The 24341-nt window shown below is 37.2% G+C and overlaps 1 protein-coding gene and 1 pseudogene across 2 annotated transcripts in view; one reads left to right on the top strand and one right to left on the bottom strand.

The window, feature by feature from the left end:
- Positions 1 to 24341, bottom strand: part of MAMDC2 (MAM domain containing 2) — a 183392-nt gene that overhangs the window by 25996 nt on the left and 133055 nt on the right. The window lies entirely within an intron of this gene.
- RNU2-5P (RNA, U2 small nuclear 5, pseudogene) lies at positions 12227 to 12403 on the top strand (annotated as a pseudogene).

Raw genomic sequence — 24341 nt, 5'->3', positions numbered from 1 at the left:
ATCTAGAAAACCCCACTGTCTCAGCCCAAAATCTCCTTAAGCTGATAAGCAACTTCAGCAAAGTCTCAGGATACAAAATCAATGTACAAAAATCACAAGCATTCTTATACACCAACAACAGACAAACAGAGACCCAAATCATGAGTGAACTCCCATTCACAATTGCTTCAAAGAGAATACAATACCTAGGAATCCAACTTACAAGGGATATGAAGGACCTCTTCAAGGAGAACTACAAACCACTGCTCAAGGAAATAAAAGAGGATACAAACAAATGGAAGAACATTCCATGCTCATGGGTAGGAAGAATCAATATCGTGAAAATGGCCATACTGCCCAAGGTAATTTACAGATTCAATGCCATCCCCATCAAGCTACCAATGACTTTCTTCACAGAATTGGAAAAAACTACTTTAAAGTTCGTATGGAACCAAAAAAGAGCCCGCATCGCCAAGTCAATCCTAAGCCAAAAGAACAAAGCTGGAGGAATCACGCTACCTGACTTCAAACTATACTACAAGGCTACAGTAACCAAAACAGCATGGTACTGGTACCAAAACAGAGATATAGATCAATGGAACAGAACAGAGCCCTCAGAAATAACGCCGCATACCTACAACTATCTGATCTTTGACAAACCTGAGAAAAACAAGCAATGGGGAAAGGATTCCCTATTTAATAAATGGTGCTGGGAAAACTGGCTAGCCATATGTAGGAAGCTGAAACTGGATCCCTTCCTTACACCTTATACAAAAATCAATTCAAGATGGATTAAAGATTTAAACGTTAGACCTAAAACCGTAAAAACCCTAGGAGAAAACCTAGGCATTACCATTCAGGACATAGGCATGGGCAAGGACTTCATGTCCAAAACACCAAAAGCAATGGCAACAAAAGCCAAAATTGACAAATGGGATCTAATTAAACTAAAGAGCTTCTGCACAGCAAAAGAAACTACCATCAGAGTGAATAGGCAACCTACAAAATGGGAGAAAATTTTCGCAACCCACTCATCTGACAAAAGGCTAATATCCAGAATCTACAATGAACTCAAACAAATTTACAAGAAAAGAACAAACAACCCCATCAAAAAGTGGGCGAAGGACATGAACAGACACTTCTCAAAAGAAGACATTTATGCAGCCAAAAAACACATGAAAAAATGCTCATCATCACTGGCCCTCAGAGAAATGCAAATCAAAACCACAATGAGATACCATCTCACACCAGTTAGAATGGCAATCATTAAAAAGTCAGGAAACAACAGGTGCTGGAGAGGATGTGGAGAAATAGGAACACTTTTACACTGTTGGTGGGACTGTAAACTAGTTCAACCATTGTGGAAGTCAGTGTGGTGATTCCTCAGGGATCTAGAACTAGAAATACCATTTGACCCAGCCATCCCATTACTGGGTATATACCCAAATGACTATAAATCATGCTGCTATAAAGACACATGCACACGTATGTTTATTGCGGCATTATTCACAATAGCAGAGGCTTGGAACCAACCCAAATGTCCAACAATGATAGACTGGATTAAGAAAATGTGGCACATATACACCATGGAATACTATGCAGCCATAAAAAATGATGAGTTCATGTCCTTTGTAGGGACATGGATGAAATTGGAAATCATCATTCTCAGTAAACTATCGCAAGATCAAAAAACCAAACACCGCATATTCTCACTCATAGGTGGGAATGGAACAATGAGATCACATGGACACAGGAAGGGGAATATCACACTCTGGGGACTGTGGTGGGGTGGGGGGAGGGATAGCATTGGGAGATATACCTAATGCTAGATGACGAGTTAGTGGGTGCAGCGCACCAGCACAGCACATGTATACATATGTAACTAACCTGTACAATGTGCACATGTACCCTAAAACTTAAAGTATAATAAAAAAAAAACAAACGAAAAAAAAAATAAGCTATGGAAAGATTGAAGGATATAGGAGACTTTAATAATCTGGAGCTAATTCCTCAGATAGTTACAGACTCACTGGATAGCATTCCTACATGTCTGAATATCAACTATGAAAATTCTTAAAAGACAGGGACTTGAAATAAACTGGAACTAACAGAGTTGTGATATTCTTTTGTCTCATAGCAAACTTTTATAGATAAACTTCATTATTTAATATTTTATTGTGTTATTAATATTTCAATCACACAAGAAGTTCTTGTGTTCTTGGAAATGAAGAATACTTCTACCTTTACTTATTAGCATATTGGAAGAGAATTTATTTGCCCAAAATATGGAAGATTTATTGGAATATTTAACTGTACTACAAAAGAAAGTGCTGGTGTTTCTTTCTCTGGAAATTGTTAAATGTTGCAGGGTTGCTTTTCTGGAATAGTAGGATCAGGGAGAGAGAACTGAATGACTTTTAATCTATTCACTGGGGGAGTCAGTGGGAGAAAATAGTTGAAGACATTTTCTCACTAACCTGGATAGTTACTCTTGGCTTATATATTCTAGTATCATTTGGCTGCAAAATCCCTGTAAACTCCAGGTCAACTAAAACTAATGTTTACAAGGAATTCTGACAGCATAGTATCATATAAATGTTAATAAAATTATAATGGCCAGTACCACCTTGGGAACTTTGTTAAGACTTGTATTATTGTCTCATAATACTGTAGTCTCAAGTTCCACAACCCCCACTGGATGCCTGAAATTGTGGATAGTACCAAACTGTATATATGTAGTTTGTATATATCTCTTACTGTTCCTAACTTGTAAATTAAACTTTATTATATATTATATATTGTGTGTGTGTGTGTGTATATATATATATATATATATACACACATACACACTATGCTTTTTTCTATACTATGTACTTATAATAAAGTTTAATTTACAAGTTAGGAACAGTAAGAGATAAACAACAATAATAAAAAAATAGAACAATTATAAAAATATATTGTATTAAGAGTTATGTACATGTGGTCTTTTCTCTCTCTCCAAATATCTTACTGTACTGTACTCACTATTCTTGTGCTGACGTGAGATAATAAAATGCATTCGTGATGAGATAAAGTGGGACGAATGACCCAGGCATTGTAAAGTAGCGTTAGGCTACTATTGACTTTCTAAGGATACATCAGAAGGAGCAGCATCTGATTTGGGTGATCCTGGATGAATGAGCTATGACGATGTGGATGGCTGGATGTCAGGAGAAGATGATGTCAGTGTTTGGGGATCCTCAATCGTTGAAGGTTTTTGTTTTGTTTTGTTTTGTTTTTGCCAAAAACTTTTGGAAGAGCATTGTAATAGAATGTTATTGTCTCTTTCTTTTTAACTCATTAAAGTGTTGCCACAGATGTTGTAATCCTTTGATCATACCGGTGACTTTAATGCTGCGTTCCTTCCTAGGATCATATTCCATAATTTTGTCCTTTGATGTCTGTGCAATGTGAAACACTTTGGCAAATTTCAGTAATACCCACACAGCTGGTTTTGCTTCAGTTTCTTCATCTTTCTCTTCCTTTGTAGATAACATGTTCTTCCAATTCCTCATTTGGTAATACTTGAAAACCTTCAATATGTTCTTCCATTTCATCAAGTATGTTGGCAAATCCTCCACCAACTTATCTTGCCGTGTGAATGATTTTCCTAACTTCTTCATCAATCCCCAGAAAGCCTTTAAAATCATTCACAACTTTACTCCATAAGTTCTTCCAGCAGACATTTGCAGTTTCTGGTTTTAATTTGTCCATTGCAGCTTTGATGAATGTTATTGCATCTGTAATAGTGAATGATTTCCAGAACAGATTACATCCAGATTAGGGTCTACATCAATTGCTGATCAAATGTGATCAAATACAAGGCAGTGACAAATTCAGTGATGGTAAAAGGCTGAAGCAGTGAGGTTGTATTCAGAGGCAATAACAACCTGAACATTTTCATTTCATTTTTTATAGCAGACAGATTTAGAATGGCTAGGAGCATTGTCTCTTATTAACAGGACTTTAAATTCCAACTATTTGTCTTCCAAGTAATTTTTTTTTATTTCTGGGATAATACATTGGTGGAACCATTTCATAATCAAGATGACTGTCACCCATGCTTTCTGATTATGTTGCCAGAACATGGGCAGTTAATTTTTGTTTTTAAGAGTACTGGGTTCTTTGCTTTGTACACTATCCTGGCTTTATCATATGCCCTGAAGCATTGCCACATGGTACCAGAGTTCATCTGTCGTTCCATGTTTTATGCCTTGGTGCCTTCTTTGCACTTTTATGAATGCAGGTTTTATCTTCTTCCAGAAGACTTGAAGATTTGCTTTAGATGGCATCCTTTCTAATTATTTCTTCAACTCTGCTGGAAAGGTAGCAGAACCTTCTTCATTAGCAGATGCAACCTCTTCAGTATTTTTTATGTTTGTCAGTCCAAACCTATTTTTGAATCTATGTAACCATCCCTTACTTGCAGTAAATGGCTTGGTGTCACTTGTTTCAGGGGATCCCTTGCTGAAGTCTTCATGTAGTCTCAATGCTTTCTGTTGCAACATTTTGTCATCAATTGGAACATGTTTTCTTTTCATGTCTTCCACTCACAAATTTAATGCCTTTTTCATGTTCACTAAATACTTATCATGTACTGTGGCCATAACTTTTGCAGTTTGACGTGCAACAGCAAAACTAGCATAAATTTCTTTTTCCTTCTTCACAGTGTCACAGATAGAAGGTGATATGGTGTGGCTGTGTCCCCACCCAAATCTCACCTTGAACTGTAATAATCCCCATGTGCCAAAGGTGGGGCCAAGTGGAGAGAATTGAATCATGAGATTGGTTCCCCCCATACTGTTATGGTGGTAGTGAATAAGTCTCATGAGATCTGCTCATTTAATAAATGGGAGTTCCCATGCACAAGCTCTCTTGCCTTGCCGCCACGTTAAGAAATCCTTTTGTACTTCCTTCATCTTCTGCCATTATTACTAGGCTTCCCCAGCCTTGTGGAACTGTGAGTCCATTAAACCTCCTTTCCTTTATAAATTATCCAGTCTCAAGTATGTCTTTATTAGCAGAGTGAGAACAGACTAATACAGAAGGTTGCATTGTTAATGTAGTCCTTAGCAAACTTAGCATACAATTGTTTTTTCTTTCCTTATCAAGTCGAGAACTTTCACCTTTTCACTTAAAGGAAGCACTTTATGGTTTCTCTTTGGCATATCTGAATTGCCAGAAACACTATGCTTGTGCTTTGGGCCACTAGGAAGTAAAATGAAGGTGACAAACACAAGCACTGTGGTACCAGAACATCTGATAATGGAGATGGCTATTAAGTGACTCATGGTCAGAGAGCATAGACAGCATGGATGATGCTAGTGAAATGGGTGATTCGCATGCTGGGTAGGATGGAGAAGGATGGGGCCGGACAGTGTGAGATTTCATAACACTACTCAGAACTGCACTCAATTTAAAATTTTTGAATTATTTATTTCTGGAATTTTCCATTTAATATTTTCAGACCATGGCTTTTTGCCCTTAGCAAGATCACAGATAAGAGGGGACTACTGTAAGTAGCATCTATGTCAGAAAACTTTCTGTTTCTGCCAGGATAGAGCTACTGAAGTAAATGGCGGCAGGAAATAGTTTGTCAAATCCTGCAGCATCCATCCCACTTTGATGCAAGTCACTATCCATCTGTTACACGTACCTTTATTATGTTATTAAATAGGAGCCAGGTGGTGCGGCTGGATTTGGTTGGTTGGTTTGCTTTTTGGTCTTTATTGTTGTTCTACTAGAATGACTTGTTCTACAAATGTTTCCCAAACTTTAGTCATACAAAAGTTTTTGTGATATTTTTTTGCCTGTCCATATTTGTACTATTATTCATTTAATGTTTTTCTTTAAATAGATTCCATTTTTAGTACGTTTATTCAAATAGGAAACTTCATATTAGCCTGAAAATAGACAGCTAGCTGTAAACCTGTGAAATAATGGTTTTGATGTACTGGTTATATATTTTTCTTGTATGTGAATATTACTAACAAATTAGAAAAATACTCATGTACTTACCACTTGAATTACCTGGTGGTAAATGTAATGTAACCTGGGTAATACTGGCCTAAGGTTCCGACAGAATTTCTGGTTTCTACTAACTCATTTTACTTGTACTCATATGTCATAATTTTCTATTTTATAAAAGCACAAATGACAAAACAAGGAGTCCAAGAAAATACTCCAGAGATAAACATCAGAATTTGTAAAAGATTCACTAATTGTAAAAATAATAATACCATTCAATTCAGTGGAGCTTACATATTATTCTTTTCACAAATACAATCTCAGTTAATCATCAGAGCCACACTATGAGATTAGCAGATGTGAGTCTGTTTATGCTACTATAGCAAAATACCTAAGATTAGGTAATGTATAAAGAACAGAAATTTATTTCTTACAGTTTTGGAGGCTGGTAAGTCCAAGATCAAGGTGCCAACAAGTTTGCTTGTCTAACAAGGGCTGCATCTTCCTGAGGGGAGGAACGCTATGTCTTCACATGGTGGATGGCATAAAGGCAAGAGAGTCGAATGCTGCGTGAAACCTCTTTTACAAAGACCTCAATCCCATTCACAAGGGAGGAGCCCTCATTGCCTAATCATCACCTGTTAAGGGTCTTGTCTCTTAATTCTGTTACACTGGCCATTAAGTTTCAACACCTGAAATTTGGAGGAGACACATTCAAATCATAGCAGCAGGTCACTGATTGTTATCTTTATTTTACATATAAGGAAACTGAGGCTCAGCGAAGTCATGTAATTATTCCCCAGGTTATGCAGGCAGCAAATGGCAGAGGCAGCTCATTGTTTGGTCTTTCCATACCATGCTGTACTGTAGAATTTGGAAAGGTTTATTGCATCACCAGTTAGTAAGTCAGGAACTATAGCTCCCTTGGAATTGCTACATATGATGATGTATTGATTCTGATAGACACAAAATAAACTGACATATTTATAGTGTGACTTTTCTGAGCTTCTCTTTTTATTTAATGGATCCATATTGACTGACCAGCTAATGTAGCTATCTGTAAAACAGCTTTGTAGGCCTCTCCCCTTTATTTTTCCTCCCTGTATATGTTGTTTCAAGTATAGATGACAGGCTTTAAGAATGGGAAGTGAAAAGGCAGAATTCAATCTACAAATACAGGTATATCTTCAGAAAGTCCCAGAGTGCACCGCATTCATTCAAAAAGAATCTTGTTACCACCAATACCAAACAAATACCCTGTGGTCATCAAGGAGAAAAATACTGTGCTCCTAGCCAAGTCTTTGAGTTTATTACTTTACTAATGTATAGCAAAGAAAGTTCAGCCATTTTGGTATCCCAGTATTACTTTTTATTGCCTTATATATGAAAAGGAGACACAGAAAAGGTTGTTAGGACTAAATGCAATAAATGAGCAAGACAGGCTATAGGAGGTCTCCTTTTCAAATGTAATATGATCATTGCTTAAATTGTACATCTAATTACAGGCAAGCTTCTTGTTGCTATCTCAGGATCCAAGCAGACAATAGTTAATACTCCCTTGAATGGGTTTTATTCAGTGTTTTAATATTTTAAATGCGTATGCTGCCTTAGCTGATCTAGAAGATCCGATCTACCTCCAGATCTATGAACTTGAGTCAATTAAAATTTTCTTATTATTTTAGAATATATCCTCCATGGAAAAGAAATTTCAGTGACATCAGTGTAAGCAATACTACGTTTATAATATAGATTACTTTCCAAAAAACCTTTAGGTGATTATCAAAGTGGTTTCTCTGATAACTGAACAAAAAAGACAAGTAAATTACTTTATTCCTGTGATGGTTGACAGAGTCTTTGCTTGACTGAACTTCAGTCAGGCTCCTAAACCTTCTCCTAGGCCTATCTTTGTACTTACTTGTAAAATCCAGTGTTAGCAGGAACCCTAATAAGTTAGTTTAGCAAGAACCCCCCACCCTCAATATCTGATCACCCTCAATGTAAGGGTCCTCATCCTCCATCATCCTCCAGGTGATGTCTAATCACCATGCCTGTCCTCAGCAAGAATCCTGTTAGGCTGGTTTAGCCAGAACCTCCCTCGCCCTTGATGTTACTTGTTAGTCATTTTTCATTCACTGACCTTCAACCAACTATTTGACTATAAATTCCCACTTGCCTGCACTTTATTCAAAGTTGAGCCCAACCTCTCTTCCCTACTGCAAAATCCCGTTGCAGTGGTCCCTGTAACTATCAAAATGGTACTGAATCAAGCCTGCCTTACTGTGCTTTAACAAGTATCATTACATAATTTTTTCTTTAACATAGTTGGATGTCACCAATATTTATTACTCAAGATGAGGACTTATAAAGGGAAAGAAGTAGAAAATTCCATGGTCTCTTAGGCAGTTTAAAGCCAAAGGCAATATAAATATAAATTTTTATACTCTTCCCCTCCTACCCCTTGTCAAAGAGCAGCATACCGTGGAATAAGGTAATCTTAGATACAGCAAGGCCTTGGGCAGAACAGTCAGAACATATCAACAGAAGAATATGTTGTAAGAGGCCAGACACACAAATATATCATTCAGAGCACTATGACTGGTTGGCTTGCAGTGCAGAAGAAAGAGTATATTTTGAGTATAATAATCATGTTCTTAAATAAATAATACTGAAAAATAAAATACCAAAGACATCCCCTCTGTCTCTGTTAAGTAACTTGTAGCAGAGCTGTACTCTGCTGAGAAAAATTAGAAAAAAAGACCATTTTTTTTAAAGAAAACACCTGTTTTGAAGTTATCAGAGAGATTTCCAAACAGCAAGGACATGAGGGATCAAGATCTAAGAAAAAATGGAAGGTCAGTGAAATGAGCTTAGTATTCTTCAAGATGCTTTCCACCTTGGGGGACTTGCCTGTTTCAGTTTAGATGCTATTCAGAGAACAGCTGCCAAGTGGCAGAGAAACCAACAGATCTCACTGGGTTGGGAAGGCAATAACCGAATTTCAGGGCTACCAAAGCAGACAAAACATTCAGGGACAAGTTTTCTGAGAAAAGGGAGGTATGAAAAAGTGATCCCATCACTTGGCAATCTTCTAAGGCATTTGTGAAATTCTTAAATTACGGAGAGTAAGAGGACAAGAAGCCAAATGCAAAACAAAGTGGGATTTTCAGCAATCTCATCAGCTGAAGAGGCAAAAATTGAAGTTTAGTACATACTAAGGAGGAGAGTCCCTAGTTAAATCCGAGAGTATATTTTTGGAGGGTATATCCTAGGTTTAGGGTAGAAGCAGAAGTAGGCTAGCAAAACAGAACTACAACACTACCTCAGGTTAGCTTAGTTCTGATTGGACTGAGGTGACTTGCTCTATTCTAGTTGTCTACTGGAGAACAGGTTGAACTCTCTCTAGTGGGAAATACCATCACCCCAGGATTCTATAATTTTTCACTGACAAGTCCATTATTCAGTCAAATTCACCTGATATTATCAAGAAACAGGACCAGAGGGGATGGGGGTGGGGGTAACAGATGACAGAAACAGAACCACAAGTGGCCCACATATGGAGTTATCACACAAGTACTGTAAATAATTATGATTAATAATTCAATAATATGAGCATTTAATTATATGTTTAAAAAAATAGATAAAACAGTTACACCAACAAACTCAAATCTGTTCAAAAGCAAAAAAATCAGGGAGGAATATGGAACCTTTGAAATGGTGGAGTAAGGACTTCTGAAAATCTTCTCCATAAAAGCAATGAGAACACTTGCAAAAAAACTGTCACAATAAACTTTTTCAGAATTCTGGGAATTAATCAAAGGCTTTTCACAATCCAAGAGTGCTTTTCCCAAGCACTCTTTGCTTGACTGAACTTCAGTCAGGCTCCTAAACCTGACTAAACCTCCTAAAAATGACTGAATTTTGCTAAGAACAGTGACCTTTTTTCTTGCCCTAATTCCATCTCCATCTCTTATACTCTACAAAAGATGTGAAAGCCAAGAGCTTTATAACTATCTGTTTTAAAAAGCAGTAGCTTAGCAGCCAGTGCAAGATACAGAACAGATTTGGAGCTCCCTAAAAGCCCCATCTCTAGAGAACTGGCATTATTTAACCTGTTTAGCAGCTTCTGAAAAGCTTCATTCTCAGGGCTTGCCTTTATTTAACCTGATTGAAGTAAATCTTATTCTATATGAACAACTGTATCCACATGGCATTTATCAAAAACAATCAGTTAATTGTTTAATTGTTTAACATTGCAGCTGCCTGAGGTGGCATTGACAGTTGAAGCTAACAAAAGGCTGACCAAAAATAAAAGAAAAAAATTGGGGAATGAGATATCTGTAGGGAGCTTTACAAAGCTCTAACATATTTCTGGAAATCTGAAAGGCCATGTAAATATAAAGAGCTGTACACATCCCCAGAAAAAAAAAAAAAAACTGAGAAACTCCTAATCTGTCACCTCTGGCTGACCTTTAGGCTCTTCATGAGCAAGAAATGGAGGCTAAGGCAAAGTTGTAAACTTCCCGCTAGAGCACTGAAGACATGACCCAACACAAACACAGAACCTGCTGTGTTCTGGGGGATCTGTTGGTTTAAGGCATTTAAGGAAAATCTCTGTTCAATAATTAGTTGACTGTTAAGCTAACAGAGCAGAGCCATACACAACAAAGAATATAGACTACAGAATTAGTCTAGGAAAGTCACTAAGCAAACATACAGCAACAATGACAACAAAAACAAAAACAACAAACAGCAATAACAAAAAAACTATGGGGAGAAGAAGAATCTGTAAAACTGTATTATTCAAAACGTCCAGTTTTCAGCAAAAATTATGAGACACACAAAGAAATAGGAAACTATTGCCCATACACAGGATAAAAAGCAGTCAATAGAAGTTATCCCTGAGGAAGTCAAGACATTGGACTTACTATACAAAGACTTTAAGGCAACTATTACAAATATGTTTAAAGAATTAATGAAAGCCATTTCTAAATAAAGTATGAGAATGATGACTCAATGCATAGAGAGTATCATTAATAATACTACAAATTATAAGTAAGAACCATGTACGAATTACAGATTTGAAAAATATAATGAAATAAAATATTCATGAGAGGGCCCAGCAGCAGATTGGAACTAGCAGAAGAAAGAATCACTAAACTTGAAGGCAGGTCAATGAGATTATCCAATCTGAAGAACATAAAGAAAAAAAAGATAAAAGAAAAAATGAACAGAGACTCAGAGACCTGTGAGACACACCATCAAGTGTACCAACATATGCATAGTGGAAGTCCCAAAAGGAAGAGAGAGAGAAAGGGGAAGAAAGAACATTTGAAAAATTAATAGCCAAAACCTTTTCAAACCTGATTTTTAAAAATATAAGTCTATACATTCAAGAAAGTCAAAGAACTTCAACTAGGAAAATTCAAGGAGTCACTACTAGAAAAATTACATTTAACTGTTACAAGCCAAAGACAATGAGCAAATCTTTTTAATTAATAAAATTTTTTCTTTGCTAATCAGCTGACTTCAGGATGAGAATCTTGAAAGCAAGAGAAAAGTGACTCATTATATACAAGAGAACCTCAATAAGATTAACAGCTAACTCCTCATCAGAAACTGTAAAGGCCAGAAGATAGTGAGATGACATATATAAAAGTGTTGAAAGAAAACTAAGAATTCTATATGCAGGAAATCTACCCTTCAAAAACAAAAGGGAACTTAGGACACTCTCAAATAAATAAAACTAAATTCATCACTAGCTACTAAAGGAAGTCCTTCAGGCTAAAAGCAAAGTGTACTAGATAGTAACTCAAACTTGTATGAAGAAATAAAAAGTACCAATAAAGATAACTGTGTAGGTAAATATAAAGAACAGAATAAGTATATTTTTATTTCTCTTATCTTCTGATTTAAAAGACAACCAACTGCATAAAGCAATAATTATAAAACTGTGTCAATGGGCTTATAACACAAAAAGGTGCCATATTCATGATAGAATAATGGAAGGAAGAAATGAAGCATAGTTTTTGTATGCTATGAAATTAAGTTAATATGAACTAGATTATCTTAAGTCAAGTTATTAATTGAGGGCCAGGAGTGGTGGCTCATGCCTGAATCCCAGCACTTTGGGAGGCCGAGGTGAGAGGATGGCTTGAGCCCAGGAGTTTGAGACTAGCCTGGACAGCATGTGAGACCCCACTTCTTTCTAAAAAAAAAAAAAAAAAAAAAATCAATTGTTTTGATCACCTCTCAGTGTTTTGGCTAAGATCAAGTGTAGTATCTGTTCTTATAAGTTTAATATCTGATATGTCCTCTATCTGAGGATACTATATTAAATGGGTTTTTGGAGCAGGGAGATGGGATAGGAGCTTACTCTGTCCACTCCAGGTATTGCAGTACCTCCAGGAATGGTGCACCCTCTTTGGGGAATAATAACATTTTAAAAAATTACTTGTAAAAATATTTTTTAAAGATGTTAATTGAAATCCCTAGGGCAACCACTAAGAAAATAACTTAGAAATATATAGTAAAATAAAACAAGAATTAAAATGGTATATTAGAAAATATCTATTTAACATGAAAAACAGTAATAGAATAAAGGAACAAAAAGAAGATGTAATACATACAGAAAACAAATGCCAAAATGCAAACATAAATTCTACCTTATTAATAATTATGTTAATTGTAAATCGTAATTGTTAACACTCTGATCAAATGGTAGAGACTGGTAGAATGAATTGAAAAAATGATCCAACTATATGTTGTCTCCAAGAGACACACTTTAGATTCAAATATACAAATAAGTTGCAACTGAAAGATTGGAAAATGATATACCATTCATGCAGTTCCCAAAAAAGAACTGGAGTGGCTACAATAATATCAGACAAAATAGACATGAGATGCCACCTCCCACTTGGGATGACTATAATAAAAAAGAGAAAGTGAGAAATGTTGACAAGGATATGGAGAAACTGAAACCCTAATACACTGCTAGTGGGAATGTAAAATGGTACAGCCACTTTGAAAAAGTCTGGCAATTATTAAATAGTTAAGTGTAGAGTTACCATACGATCCAACAGTTCCACTCCCTGGTTTATACCTTAAAGAAAATGAAAACATATGTCCACAGAAAAAGTTGTTCACAAATAAAATAGCATCATTATTATAGTAGCCAAAAAATGAAAGCAATCCAAATGTTCATCAATTGATAAATTTATAAACCTTGAAAACCTTGTCTTAGTGAAAGAAGCCAGATACAGAAGACCACATATTGTATGATCTGATTTGTATGAAAGGTCTAGATGGGCAAATCTATATAGACAGAAAGTAGATTAGTAGTTTTCTGGGGGTGGGGTAAAGAGGGAAGAGATAGGGAAAGGGAATGGGAGTGACTACTAATGGGTATGGAGTTTCTTTTGAGGTGATAAAAAATGTTCTAGAATTAGATAGTGATAAGCATTACACAGCTTCATGAGTATATTTAAAACCAATGAATTATATACTTTAAAAAATGAATTATTTGGAATGCAAATTCCATCTCAAAACTATTTAAAAATGAACAAATGGAAATTCTAGAATTGAAAAATAGAATTACAGAAATTAAAAATCAGTTAATGGGTTTAATAACATACTGAACATCGCTAAGATTCAAAAAAAATTTTTTAATTGGCCAAGAGAAAATACCCAAACTAAAGAACTGAGAACAAAAAGAAAGAAAATATTTGTAAGAGAGCATGAAGGATATATAATACATAGTAAGAACTTTTAATGTACATATAATTGGAGTCTCAGAAAGATAGGAGAGACAGTTAGGCAGGGGCAATATTTGACAAGATAAAGATCAAGAAATTTTGAAAACTATTGAAAGATCTCAGCTCAAAGATTAAAGAAATTTAATGAAACCCAAGCAGAATAACTACAAAGAAGACTACACACATGCATGTTGATATAGTTTGGATATTTGTCCTCTGAAATCTCATGTTGAAATGTGATCCCCAATGTTGGAGGTGTGACCTAGTGGGAGATGTTTGGGTCATGGGAGTGGATCCCTCATGAATGGCTTGGTGCCATCCCCTTCATGATTAGTGAGTTTTTGCTCTATTAGTTCACGTAAGAACTGGTTGTTTAAAGAGCCTAGCACCTCCTTCCTGCCTCCCTCTTGCTCTGTCTCACCATGTTGACATGCCTGCTCTGCGTTTGCCTTCCGCTACAAGTAAAATCTTCCTGAGACTTCACCAGAAGCTGAGCTCATGTTGGTGCTATGCTGTTAGAGCCTGCAGAACCATGAGCCAAATAAAACACTTTTCTTTATAAATTCTCATCTCAGATATTCCTTTATAACAATGCAAAGTGGACAAATACATATCATACTAAAATGCTGAAAATCAAACATGAGGAGAAAATATTAAATGCACCCAGAGGAAAATAGTACTTTCAAAATAAAAACAAAAACAAAAAACAATTTTAGGACTGACATCTGACTTCTCAATAGATATGATGGAAGCCAGAATTCAGTTGAATTACATCTTTAAATAAATGGCTGTTAAGGAAATAATTGTTCACCTAGAATTCTATTCCCAGAAAAACTATCCTTCAAATGTAAAGGAAAAAGACATTCCCAGACAAACAAAAACTGAAAGAATCAGCAGCAGACATGCACCAAAAATAAAATGAAACAAAACAAAAATAAAAAGCTAGATACAGAAGAAAATTATTCTAGCAAAAGAAAAACACTTCCCACAAAAGAAAATAATTCAAGAGATAAACATGGAAATGTAGAAAGGAATGAAGATGAATGGGGAAATATGTGAATAAATATAGAATACTTTTTAGGATTTAAAAAACATATAAATATAAAGCAAATACTAGGCTAGTTATGAAAATAATACAACTATCGTAATGTTAGTTGTGAGCTAAAGAAAAAAAAACAACTTGTAAAGGAATATAAACAATAAGAACTCAACAAAAAGCGTATATTGAAATCTGGCAAGATGGCCAAATAGGAACAGCTCTGGTCTGCAGCTCCTAGCAAGACCTATGCAGAAGACGAGTGATTTTTGCATTTCCAACTGAGTGGTGCCTAGAACCCCAGCAGGACAGAACCGTTCACTTTCCTGGAAAGGGAGCTGAAGCCAGGGAGCCAAGTGGTCTCACTCAGTGGGTCCCACTCCCATGGAACCCAGCAAGCTAAGAAACACTGGCTTGAAATTCTCAATGCCAGCATAGCAGTCTGATGTTGACCTGGGATGATGGAGTTTGGTGTGAGAGGAGCATCCGTCATTACTGAGGCTTGTGTAGGCAGTTTTTCCCGGACAGTGCTAAGGAGGCCAGGAAGTTCAGACTGGGCAGAACTCACCACAGTGTGGCAAAGCGGTTGTGGCCAGACTGCCTCCCTAGATCACTCCTCACTGGGCAGGATCTCTGAAAGAAAGGCAGCAGCTTATAGATAAAATTCCCATCTCCCTGGGACAGAGCCCCTGGGGGAAGGGGTAGCTGTGGGTGCAGCTTCAGTGGACTTAAATGTCCCTCCCTGCCGGCTCTGAAGAGAACAGTGGATCCTGACAGGGAGGATTCTCCCAGCACAGTGCCCAAGCTCTGCTAAGGGACAGACTACCTTCTCAAGTGGGTCCCTGACTCCCGTGCCTCCTGACTGGAAGAGACCTCCCAGCAGGGACCGACAGACACCTCTTACAGGAGAGCTCTGGCTGGCATCTGGCAGGTGGCCCTCTGGGACAAAGCTTCCAGAGAAAGGAGCAAGCAGCAATCTTTGCTGTTCTGCTGCCTCCAATGATGATGCCCAGGCAAACAGGGTCTGGAATGGATCTCCAGCAAACTGCAGCAGACCTGCAGAAGAGGGGCCTGACTGTTAGAAGAAAAACTAACAGACAGAAAACAATAATATCAACATCAACACAAAGGACCCCCACACAAAATCCCCATCCAAAAGTCATCAACTTCAAATATCAAAGGTAGAGAAATCCATGAAGATGAGTAAAAACCAGCACAAAAATGCTGAAAATTCCAAAAATCACAATGCTGCTTCTTCTCTAAATGATCAGAACTCTTCTCCAGCAAGGGCACAAAACTGGATGGAGAATGAGTTTGACAAATTGACAAAAGTCGGCTTCAGAAGATAGGTAATAAATTCCTCTGAGGTAAAGGAGCATGTTCTAACCCAATGCAAGGAAGCCGAGAACCTTGATAAAAGGTTACAGGAACTGCTAACTAGAATAACCAGTTTAAAGAAGAACATAAATGACCTGATGGAGCTGAAAAACACAGCATGAGAACTCTGTGAAGCATACACAAGTATCAATAGCCAAATCAATCAAGCAGAAGAAAGAATATCAGAAATTGAGGATCAACTTACTGAAATAAGGCATAAAGACAAGATTAGAGAAAAAAAATGAAAAAGATGATCAAAGCCTCCAAGAAATATGGGACTATGTGAAAAGACCAAATCTATGACTGATTGGTGTACCTGAAAGTGAGGGGAAGAATGGAACCAAGTTGGAAAACATACTTCATGGTATTATCCAGGAGAACTTCCCCAACCTAGCAAGACAGGCCAACATTCAAATTCAGGAAATACAGAAAACACCACTAAGATACTCCATGAGAAGAGCAACATGAAGACACATAATCATCAGATTCTCCAAGGTTGAAATGAAAGAAAAAATGTTAAAGGCAGCCACAGAGAAAGGTCAGGTTTCTTAGAAAGGGAAGCCCATCAGACTAACAGTGGATCTCTCTGCAGAAACCCTACAAGCCAGAAGAGAGTAGGGACCAATATGCAACATTCTTAAAGAAAAGAATTTTCAACCCAGAATTTCATATCCAGCCAAACTAAGCTTCATAAGTGAAGGAGAATTAAAATCCTTTACAGACAAGCAAATGCTGAAGGATTTCGTCACCACCAGGCTTGCCCTACAAGAGCTCCTGAAGGAAGCACTAAATATGGAAAGGAAAAACCAGTACCAGCTACTGCAAATACGTACCAAATTGTAAAGAACATCAACACTATGAAGAAACTACATCAAGTAACAGCCACAATAACCAGCTACCATCATAATGACAGAATCAAATTCACACAATGACAGAATCAAATTCACATAATGACAGAATCAAATAACAATATTAATCTTAAATGTAAACGGGCTAAATGCCCCAATTAAAAGACACAGACTGGCAAATTGGATAGAGTCAAGACCCATCAGTGTGCTGTATTCAGGAGACTCATCTCACATGCAAAGACACACATAGGCTCAAAATAAAAAGATGGAGGAATATTTACCAAGCAAATGCAAAGAGAAAAAAAAAGCAAGGGTTGCAATCCTAGTCTCTGATAAAACAGACTTTAAACCAACAAAGATCAAAACAGACAAAGAAGGCCATTACATAATGGTAAAGGGATCAATGCAACAAGAAGAGCTAACTATCCTAAATATATATGCACCAAATACAGGAGTACCCAGATTCATAAAGCAAGTTCCTAAAGACATACAAAGAGACTTAGACTCACACACAGTAATAGTGGAAGACTTTAACACCCCATTGTCAGTATTAGATCAATGAGACAGAAAATTAACAAGGATATCCAGGACTTGAACTCAGCTCTGGACCAAGCGGACCTAATAGATATCTACAGAACTCTCCACCCCAAATCAGGAGAATATACATTCTTCTCAGCAACACATCGCACTTATTCTAAAATTGACCACATAATTGGAAGTAAAACACTCCTCAGTAAATGCAAAAGAACAGAAATCATAACAAACAGTCTTTCAGACCACAGTGCAATCAAATTAGGACTCAGGATTAGGAAACCCACTCAAAACTGCACAACTACATGGAAACTGAACAACCCGCTCCTGAATGACTACTGGGAAAACAACAAAATGAAAGCAGAAATAAAGATGTGTTTTGAAACCAATGAGAACAAAGACACAATGTACCAGAATCTCTGGGACACAGCCAAAGCAGCATTAGAGGGAAATGTATAGCACTAAATGCCCAAAGGAGAAAGCAGGAAAGATCTAAAATCGACACCCTAACATCACAATTAAAAGAACTAGACAAGCAAGAGCAAACAAATTCAAAAGCTAGAAGACAAGAAATAATGAAGATCAGAGCAGAGCTGAAGGAGATAGAGACATGAAAGTCCCTTCAAAAAAATCAGTGAATCCAGGAGCTGGTTTTTTAAAAAGATCAATAAAATAGATAGACCGCTCAGACTAATAAAAAAGAACAGAGAAGAATCAAATAGATGCAATAAAAAATGATAAAGGGAATATCACAACTGATCCTACAGAAATACAAACTACCATCAGAGAATACTATAAACACCTCTATGAAAATAAACTAGAAAATCTAGAAGAAATGGATAAATTCCTGGACACATACACCCTCCCAAGACTAAATCAGGAAGAAGTAGAATCCCTGAATAGACCAATAACAAGTTCTGAAATTAAGGCAGTAATTAATAGCCTACCAACCAAAAAAAGCCCAGGACCAGATGGATTCACAGCCAAATTCTACCAGAGGTACAAAGAGGAGCTGGTACCATTCCTTCTGAAATTATTCCAAGCAATAGAAAAAGAGAGACTCCTCCCTAATTCATTTTATGAGGCCGGCATCATTCTGACACCAAAACCTGGCAGAGACACAACAAAAAAAGAAAATTTCAGGCCAATGTCCCTGATGAACATCAATGCAAAAATCCTCAATAAAATACTGACCAACCGAATCCAGCAGCACATCAAAAAGCTTATCCACCACAATCAAGTCGGCTTCATCCCTGGGATACAAGGCTGGTTCGACATACACAAATCAATAAATGTAATCCATCACATAAACAGAACCAATGACAAAAACCACATGATTATCTCAATAGATGCAGAAAAGGCCTTCGATAAAATTCAACACCGCTTCATGCTAAAAACTCTCAATAAACTAGGTGTTCATGTGAGATACCTCAAAATAATAAGAGCTATTTATGACAAACCCATAGCCAATATCATACCGAATGGGGAAAAGCTGGAAGCATTCCCTTTGAAAACTGGCAAAGACAAGGATACCCTCTCTCACCATTCCTATTCAACATAGTATTGGAAGTTCTGTCCAGGGCAATCAGGCAAGAGAAAGAAATAAAAGGTACTCAAATAGGAAGAGAGGAAGTCAAATTGTCTCTTTTTGCAGATGACATGATTGTATATTTAGAAAACCCCATTGTCTCAGCCCAAAAACTCCTTAAGCTGATAATCAACTTCAGCAAAGTCTCTGGATACAAAATCAATGTGCAAAAATCACAAGCATCCCTATACACCAATAATAGACAAGCAGAGAGCCAAATAATGAGTGAACTTCCCATTCACAATAGCTACAAAGAAAATAAAATACCAAGGAATACAACTTACAAGGGATGTGAAGGACCTCTTCAAAAAGAACTACAAACCAGTGCTCAAGAAAAATAAGAGAGGACACAAACAAATGGAAAAAAAATTCCATGCTTATCAATAGGAAGAATCAATATCATGAAAATGGCCATACTGCCCAAAGTAATTTATAGATTCAATGCTATTCCCATCAAGCTACCATTGACGTTCTTCACAGAATTAGAAAAAACTACTTTAAATTTCATATGGAACCAAAAAAGAGCCTGTATAGCCAAGACTATCCTAAGCAAAAAGAACAAAGCTGGAGGCATCACGTTACCTGACTTCAGACTATACTACAAGGCTACAGTAACCAAAACAGCATGGTACTGGTGCCAAAACAGACATATAGACCAATGGAACAGAACAGAGGCCTCAGAAATAACACCACACATCTGCAACCATATGATCTTTGACAAACCTGATAAAAACAAGCAATGGGGAAAGGATTCTCTATGTAATAAATGTTGCTGGGAAAACTGGCTAGCCATATGCAGAAAACTGAAACTGGACCCCTTCCTTACACCTTATACAAAATTAACTCAAGTTGGATTAAAGACTTAAGTATAAAACCTAAAACCATAAAAACCATGAAGAAAACCTAGGCAATACCATTCAGGACATAGACATGGGCAAAGACTTCATGACTAAAATATCAAAAGCAATTGCAGCAAAAGCCAAAATTGACAAATGTGATCTGATTAAACTAAAGAGCTTCTGCACAGCAAAAGAAACTGCCATCAGAGTATTCCTACAGAATAGGAGAAAAGTTTTGCAATCTATCAATCTGACAAAGGTCTAATATCTGGAATGTACAGTGAACTTAAACAAATTTACAAGAAAAAACCAACCCCCATCAAAAAGTGGCCGAAGGATATGAACAGACACTTCTCAAAAGAAGATGTTTATGCAGCCAACAAACATGAAAAAAAGCTCATCATCACTGGTCATTAGAGAAATGCAAATCAAAAACACAATGAGATACCATCTCATGCCAGTTAGAATGGCAATCATTAAAAAGTCAGAAAACAACAGATGTAGAGAGAGGATGTGGAAAAATAGGAATGCTTTTACACTGTTGGTGGGAGTGTAAATTAGTTCAACCATTGTGGGAGACAGTGTGGCAATTCTTCAAGGATCTAGAACCAGAAATACCATTTGACCCAACAATCCCGTTACTGGGTATATACCCAAAGGATTATAAATCATTCTACTGTAAAGACACATGCACACATATGTTTACTGCAGCACTATTTACAATAGCAAAGACTTGGAACCAACCAAAATGCCCATCAGTGATAGACTGGATAAAGAAAATGTGGCACATATACCCCATGAAATACTATGCAGCCATAAAAAAGAATGAGTTCATGTCCTTTGGAGGGACATGGATGAAGCTGGAAAGCATCATTCTCAGCAGACTAACACAGGAACAGAAAACCAAACACTGCATGTTCTCACTCATAAGTGGGAGTTGAACAATGATAACACGTGGACACAGGGAGGGGAGCATCACACACCGGGGCCTGTTGGGGGGTGGGGGGACAAATATCTAATGCATGCAGGGCTTAAAACCTAGATGTTGGGATGATAGGTCTGGCAAAGCACCATCACACATGTATACCTGTGTAACAAACCTGCATGTTCTGCACTTGTATCCCAGAAATTAATGTAAAAAAAAAAAAGGAATATTTTATCCATTTATCCTTTTTTTCTTGCATTTTCAGGTGTTTTGTAGCGAGTGCACAGTGATCTCTAGTGTATTTTTTTTTTGCTAGAAAAAGAGGTCTATAATTCATTTATTTTTCTTCATCTTTCTACACACTATACCCATCCTGGCTGGAATTTTATAGGAGCATATATCTTCTGGCTAAGAGTTTGAAATGTAATATTGAGTTTATGCACTAGATTTTAAAGCTTTTGTTTTTTTTTTTTTTCATTTGTAGAAAGGAATGCCTTAGTTATGTTCCTAATTTTAAGGGAATCTATGCCTTATTTTATTTTATTTTTATTTATTTATTTATTTATTTTTTTTGAGACGGAGTCTTGCTCTGTTGCCCAGGCTGGAGTGCAGTGGCATGATCTCGGCTCACTGCAAGCTCCGCCTTCCGGGTTCACGCCATTCTCCTGCCTCAGTCTTCCAAGTAGCTGGGACTACAGGCACCCGCCACCACACCCAGCTAATTTTGTGTGTGTGTGTGTGTGTTTTTAGTAGAGACGAGGTTTCACCGTGTTAGCCAGGATAGTCTCGATCTCCTGACCTCGTGATCCGCCTGCCTCAGCCTCCCAAAGTGCTGGGATTACAAGCGTGAGCCACCATGCCCGGCCCCACCTCATTTTAGTATTGTTATGTTAGCTAGAGATAGATCTCCAATGTCTTAGTTACAGGTAATTTTGATAAAGTTGGTGGGTACATTTAATTTTAAGTAAATACGTTTTTTACAATAACGTCTTAACCAATGTTTCCTATGATAAGTGTTCTTAGTCTCAAGGTTGTAAGTTGATAATCTTTGGAAATATTAAAACAAAACTGCCAATATTGCACAAAAAAGCCTATATTTTAGACTCCACTTTGTTGGTAATCCTGGGTGACAATATTCTACATGCCAGCCTAGTCACTTACAGTTCTTCGAAAGCTGCCACACTGTTTAATGGCTCCATACTTCACACCAGCCATTCCCTCATCCTGGAATGCTTCCTTCCTCCCTACCATTCTTGATGAACTCACACTCAGATACCCACAAGGAGAGCTAGCTGTGTGGTTTCATTACCTCTAGGACTTAACCCTTATTACTTGACTTATTATAACTCTGGGGCAATTATTTGATGTATAATGCATAGTGGGTATTCAGGAAATATGGAATAGAACAAGATCCTAGGGATCCTGGACTATATACCATTTCTGATTGCTTTCAGTTATGAGAGGTTTAATTCTTATATACATGTAGCTTATGATGCTGGTTGTTTTAACAAATAAGTGAATGTTTTAGAGAAACCTTTGTTTGTTTATGCATTAATTTTTGAATGGGTAACTGCCATGGTTTGGATGTATCCCCCAAAACTCATGAGTTGGAAACTTGATTCCCCAATGCAGTGGTGTCGAAAGGTAGGGCTTAATGGGAGATGTTTGGGTCATGGGGGCACTGCCCTTGTTAATGGATTAATGCCATTATCATGGGAGTAGGTTCCTTGTTAAAGGATGAGTTTGGTTCCCTCTTGCTCTTTCCCTTACCCTCTCTCTGCCCCTTCCACCATGGGATGATGTAGCAAGATGGCTCTCACTAGATATCAGAACCTTGATCTTAGACTTTGCAGCCCCTAGAACTGTAAGGATATAAGTTTCCATTCTATATAAATTGCTCAGTTCAGCCATTCTGTTATAGCAGCACAAAATGGATTGAGACAGTAACCCTTGTCACATTGCAATCTGAGTGCCAATACATCAGCCACATTGAGCTCACACCATTAGAGGCTAGGACAAAGGAAAACCACTCTTTTGTGGGGTGTAGGATACATAATAAGTGTGTGGCCTACAGCCCTGGGGTTACACTGACAACATTGTTATACAGACACTAGAAATAGATCAGAAAAAGTTTAGATGTTTTCTGCTGGATCAATTTCTAGGAATGTTCCAAAATACCAATCATTGTATTTTCTAGGAGAAGACACTCTGCTTTGGTGTGAAGGGTCTTTGGTTTATGAAAAACTGTGCTTTTCACATATAAGTTGTCACAGCTGTTCCAGGCCATGTGTGGTCTCTTAGTAGCATGTAGGTTTGGAAACCCTAGTGAGGCAGTGTAGGCAGAATATATAGCCATTAGAACCAGACAAATGTGAGATTAAGTCTTTGCTCCACCAGTTACTGCTCCACCAGTAAGTGCTGGCCCTGGAAAGGCACTTAACTTCCCTAAACTTCAGCTTCCTCCTGCAAAACGTGGGAACTTTCACTTACCTTACAGGTTGTGGAAAGGATGTTGAGGTTCCTAGCGCAGTGCCTACACGTGGTAAATGTCCAATATAGTAGTGCCCCCTTTATCTGTTTTTGCCTTCCATGGTTTCGGTTACCCACAGTCAGCTGTGGCCCAAAAATATTACATGGAAAGTTCCAGAAATAAACAATTCATAAGTTTTAAACTATGTTCTGTTGTGAGTAGCATGATGAAATCTTCCACTGTTCCACTCTGTCCCAAGCAGAACACAAATCATCTCTTTGTCCAATGTCTCCATGCTGTCTACACTCTCTGCCTGTGAGTCACTTAGCCATCTTTGTTATCAGACTGACTGTCACAGTATCACAGATCTTGTGTCCAAGTAACCTTTATTTTATTTAATTATGGCCCCAAAGTGCAAGAGTAGTGATGCTGACAGTTTAGATATGGCAAAGAGAAGCCATAAAGTGCTTCAAGTGAAAAGGTGAAAGGTTGTGACTTAACAAGGAAAGGAAAAATCTGAGGTTGCTGAGATCTACAGTAGGAACAAATCTTCTGTCTGTGAAATTGAGAACAATATATTGTAATTATTCTATTATTGGTCATTGTTAGTGTCTTATTGTGCCTAATTTATAGATTAAGCTTTATTATAGGTATGTATGTATGAGAAAAATATATTGTATATAGGGTTTAATACTGCCTTTGGTTTCAGGCATCCACTAGGCATCGAGGAACATATGCCCTGCAGATAAGGGGGAACTACTGTAAATAATCACTGATATTATATTTCCCTAGAAAATTAGTTATTAAAGTAATTTCAAGAACAAGAACAAAACACCTTCAACCTAATGCTATATTTGTAGGTACCCTGGGCACAGTGTAGCAAAACTTGTTTTTCTTATTTACATTGTTGTACATGGGAATAAAAAGATATAAGTGGTAAAAGAGTTAGTTAGAAAAGTGGAAGGTGTCTTGAGAAATTTTTGAAAATCTA

Source organism: Homo sapiens, chromosome 9, assembly GCF_000001405.40.
Source record: "Homo sapiens chromosome 9, GRCh38.p14 Primary Assembly".
Lineage (NCBI taxonomy): Eukaryota > Metazoa > Chordata > Mammalia > Primates > Hominidae > Homo > Homo sapiens.
The sequence above is the reverse complement of the archived record's forward strand: the minus strand, read 5'-3'. Positions and strand labels throughout refer to the sequence as shown.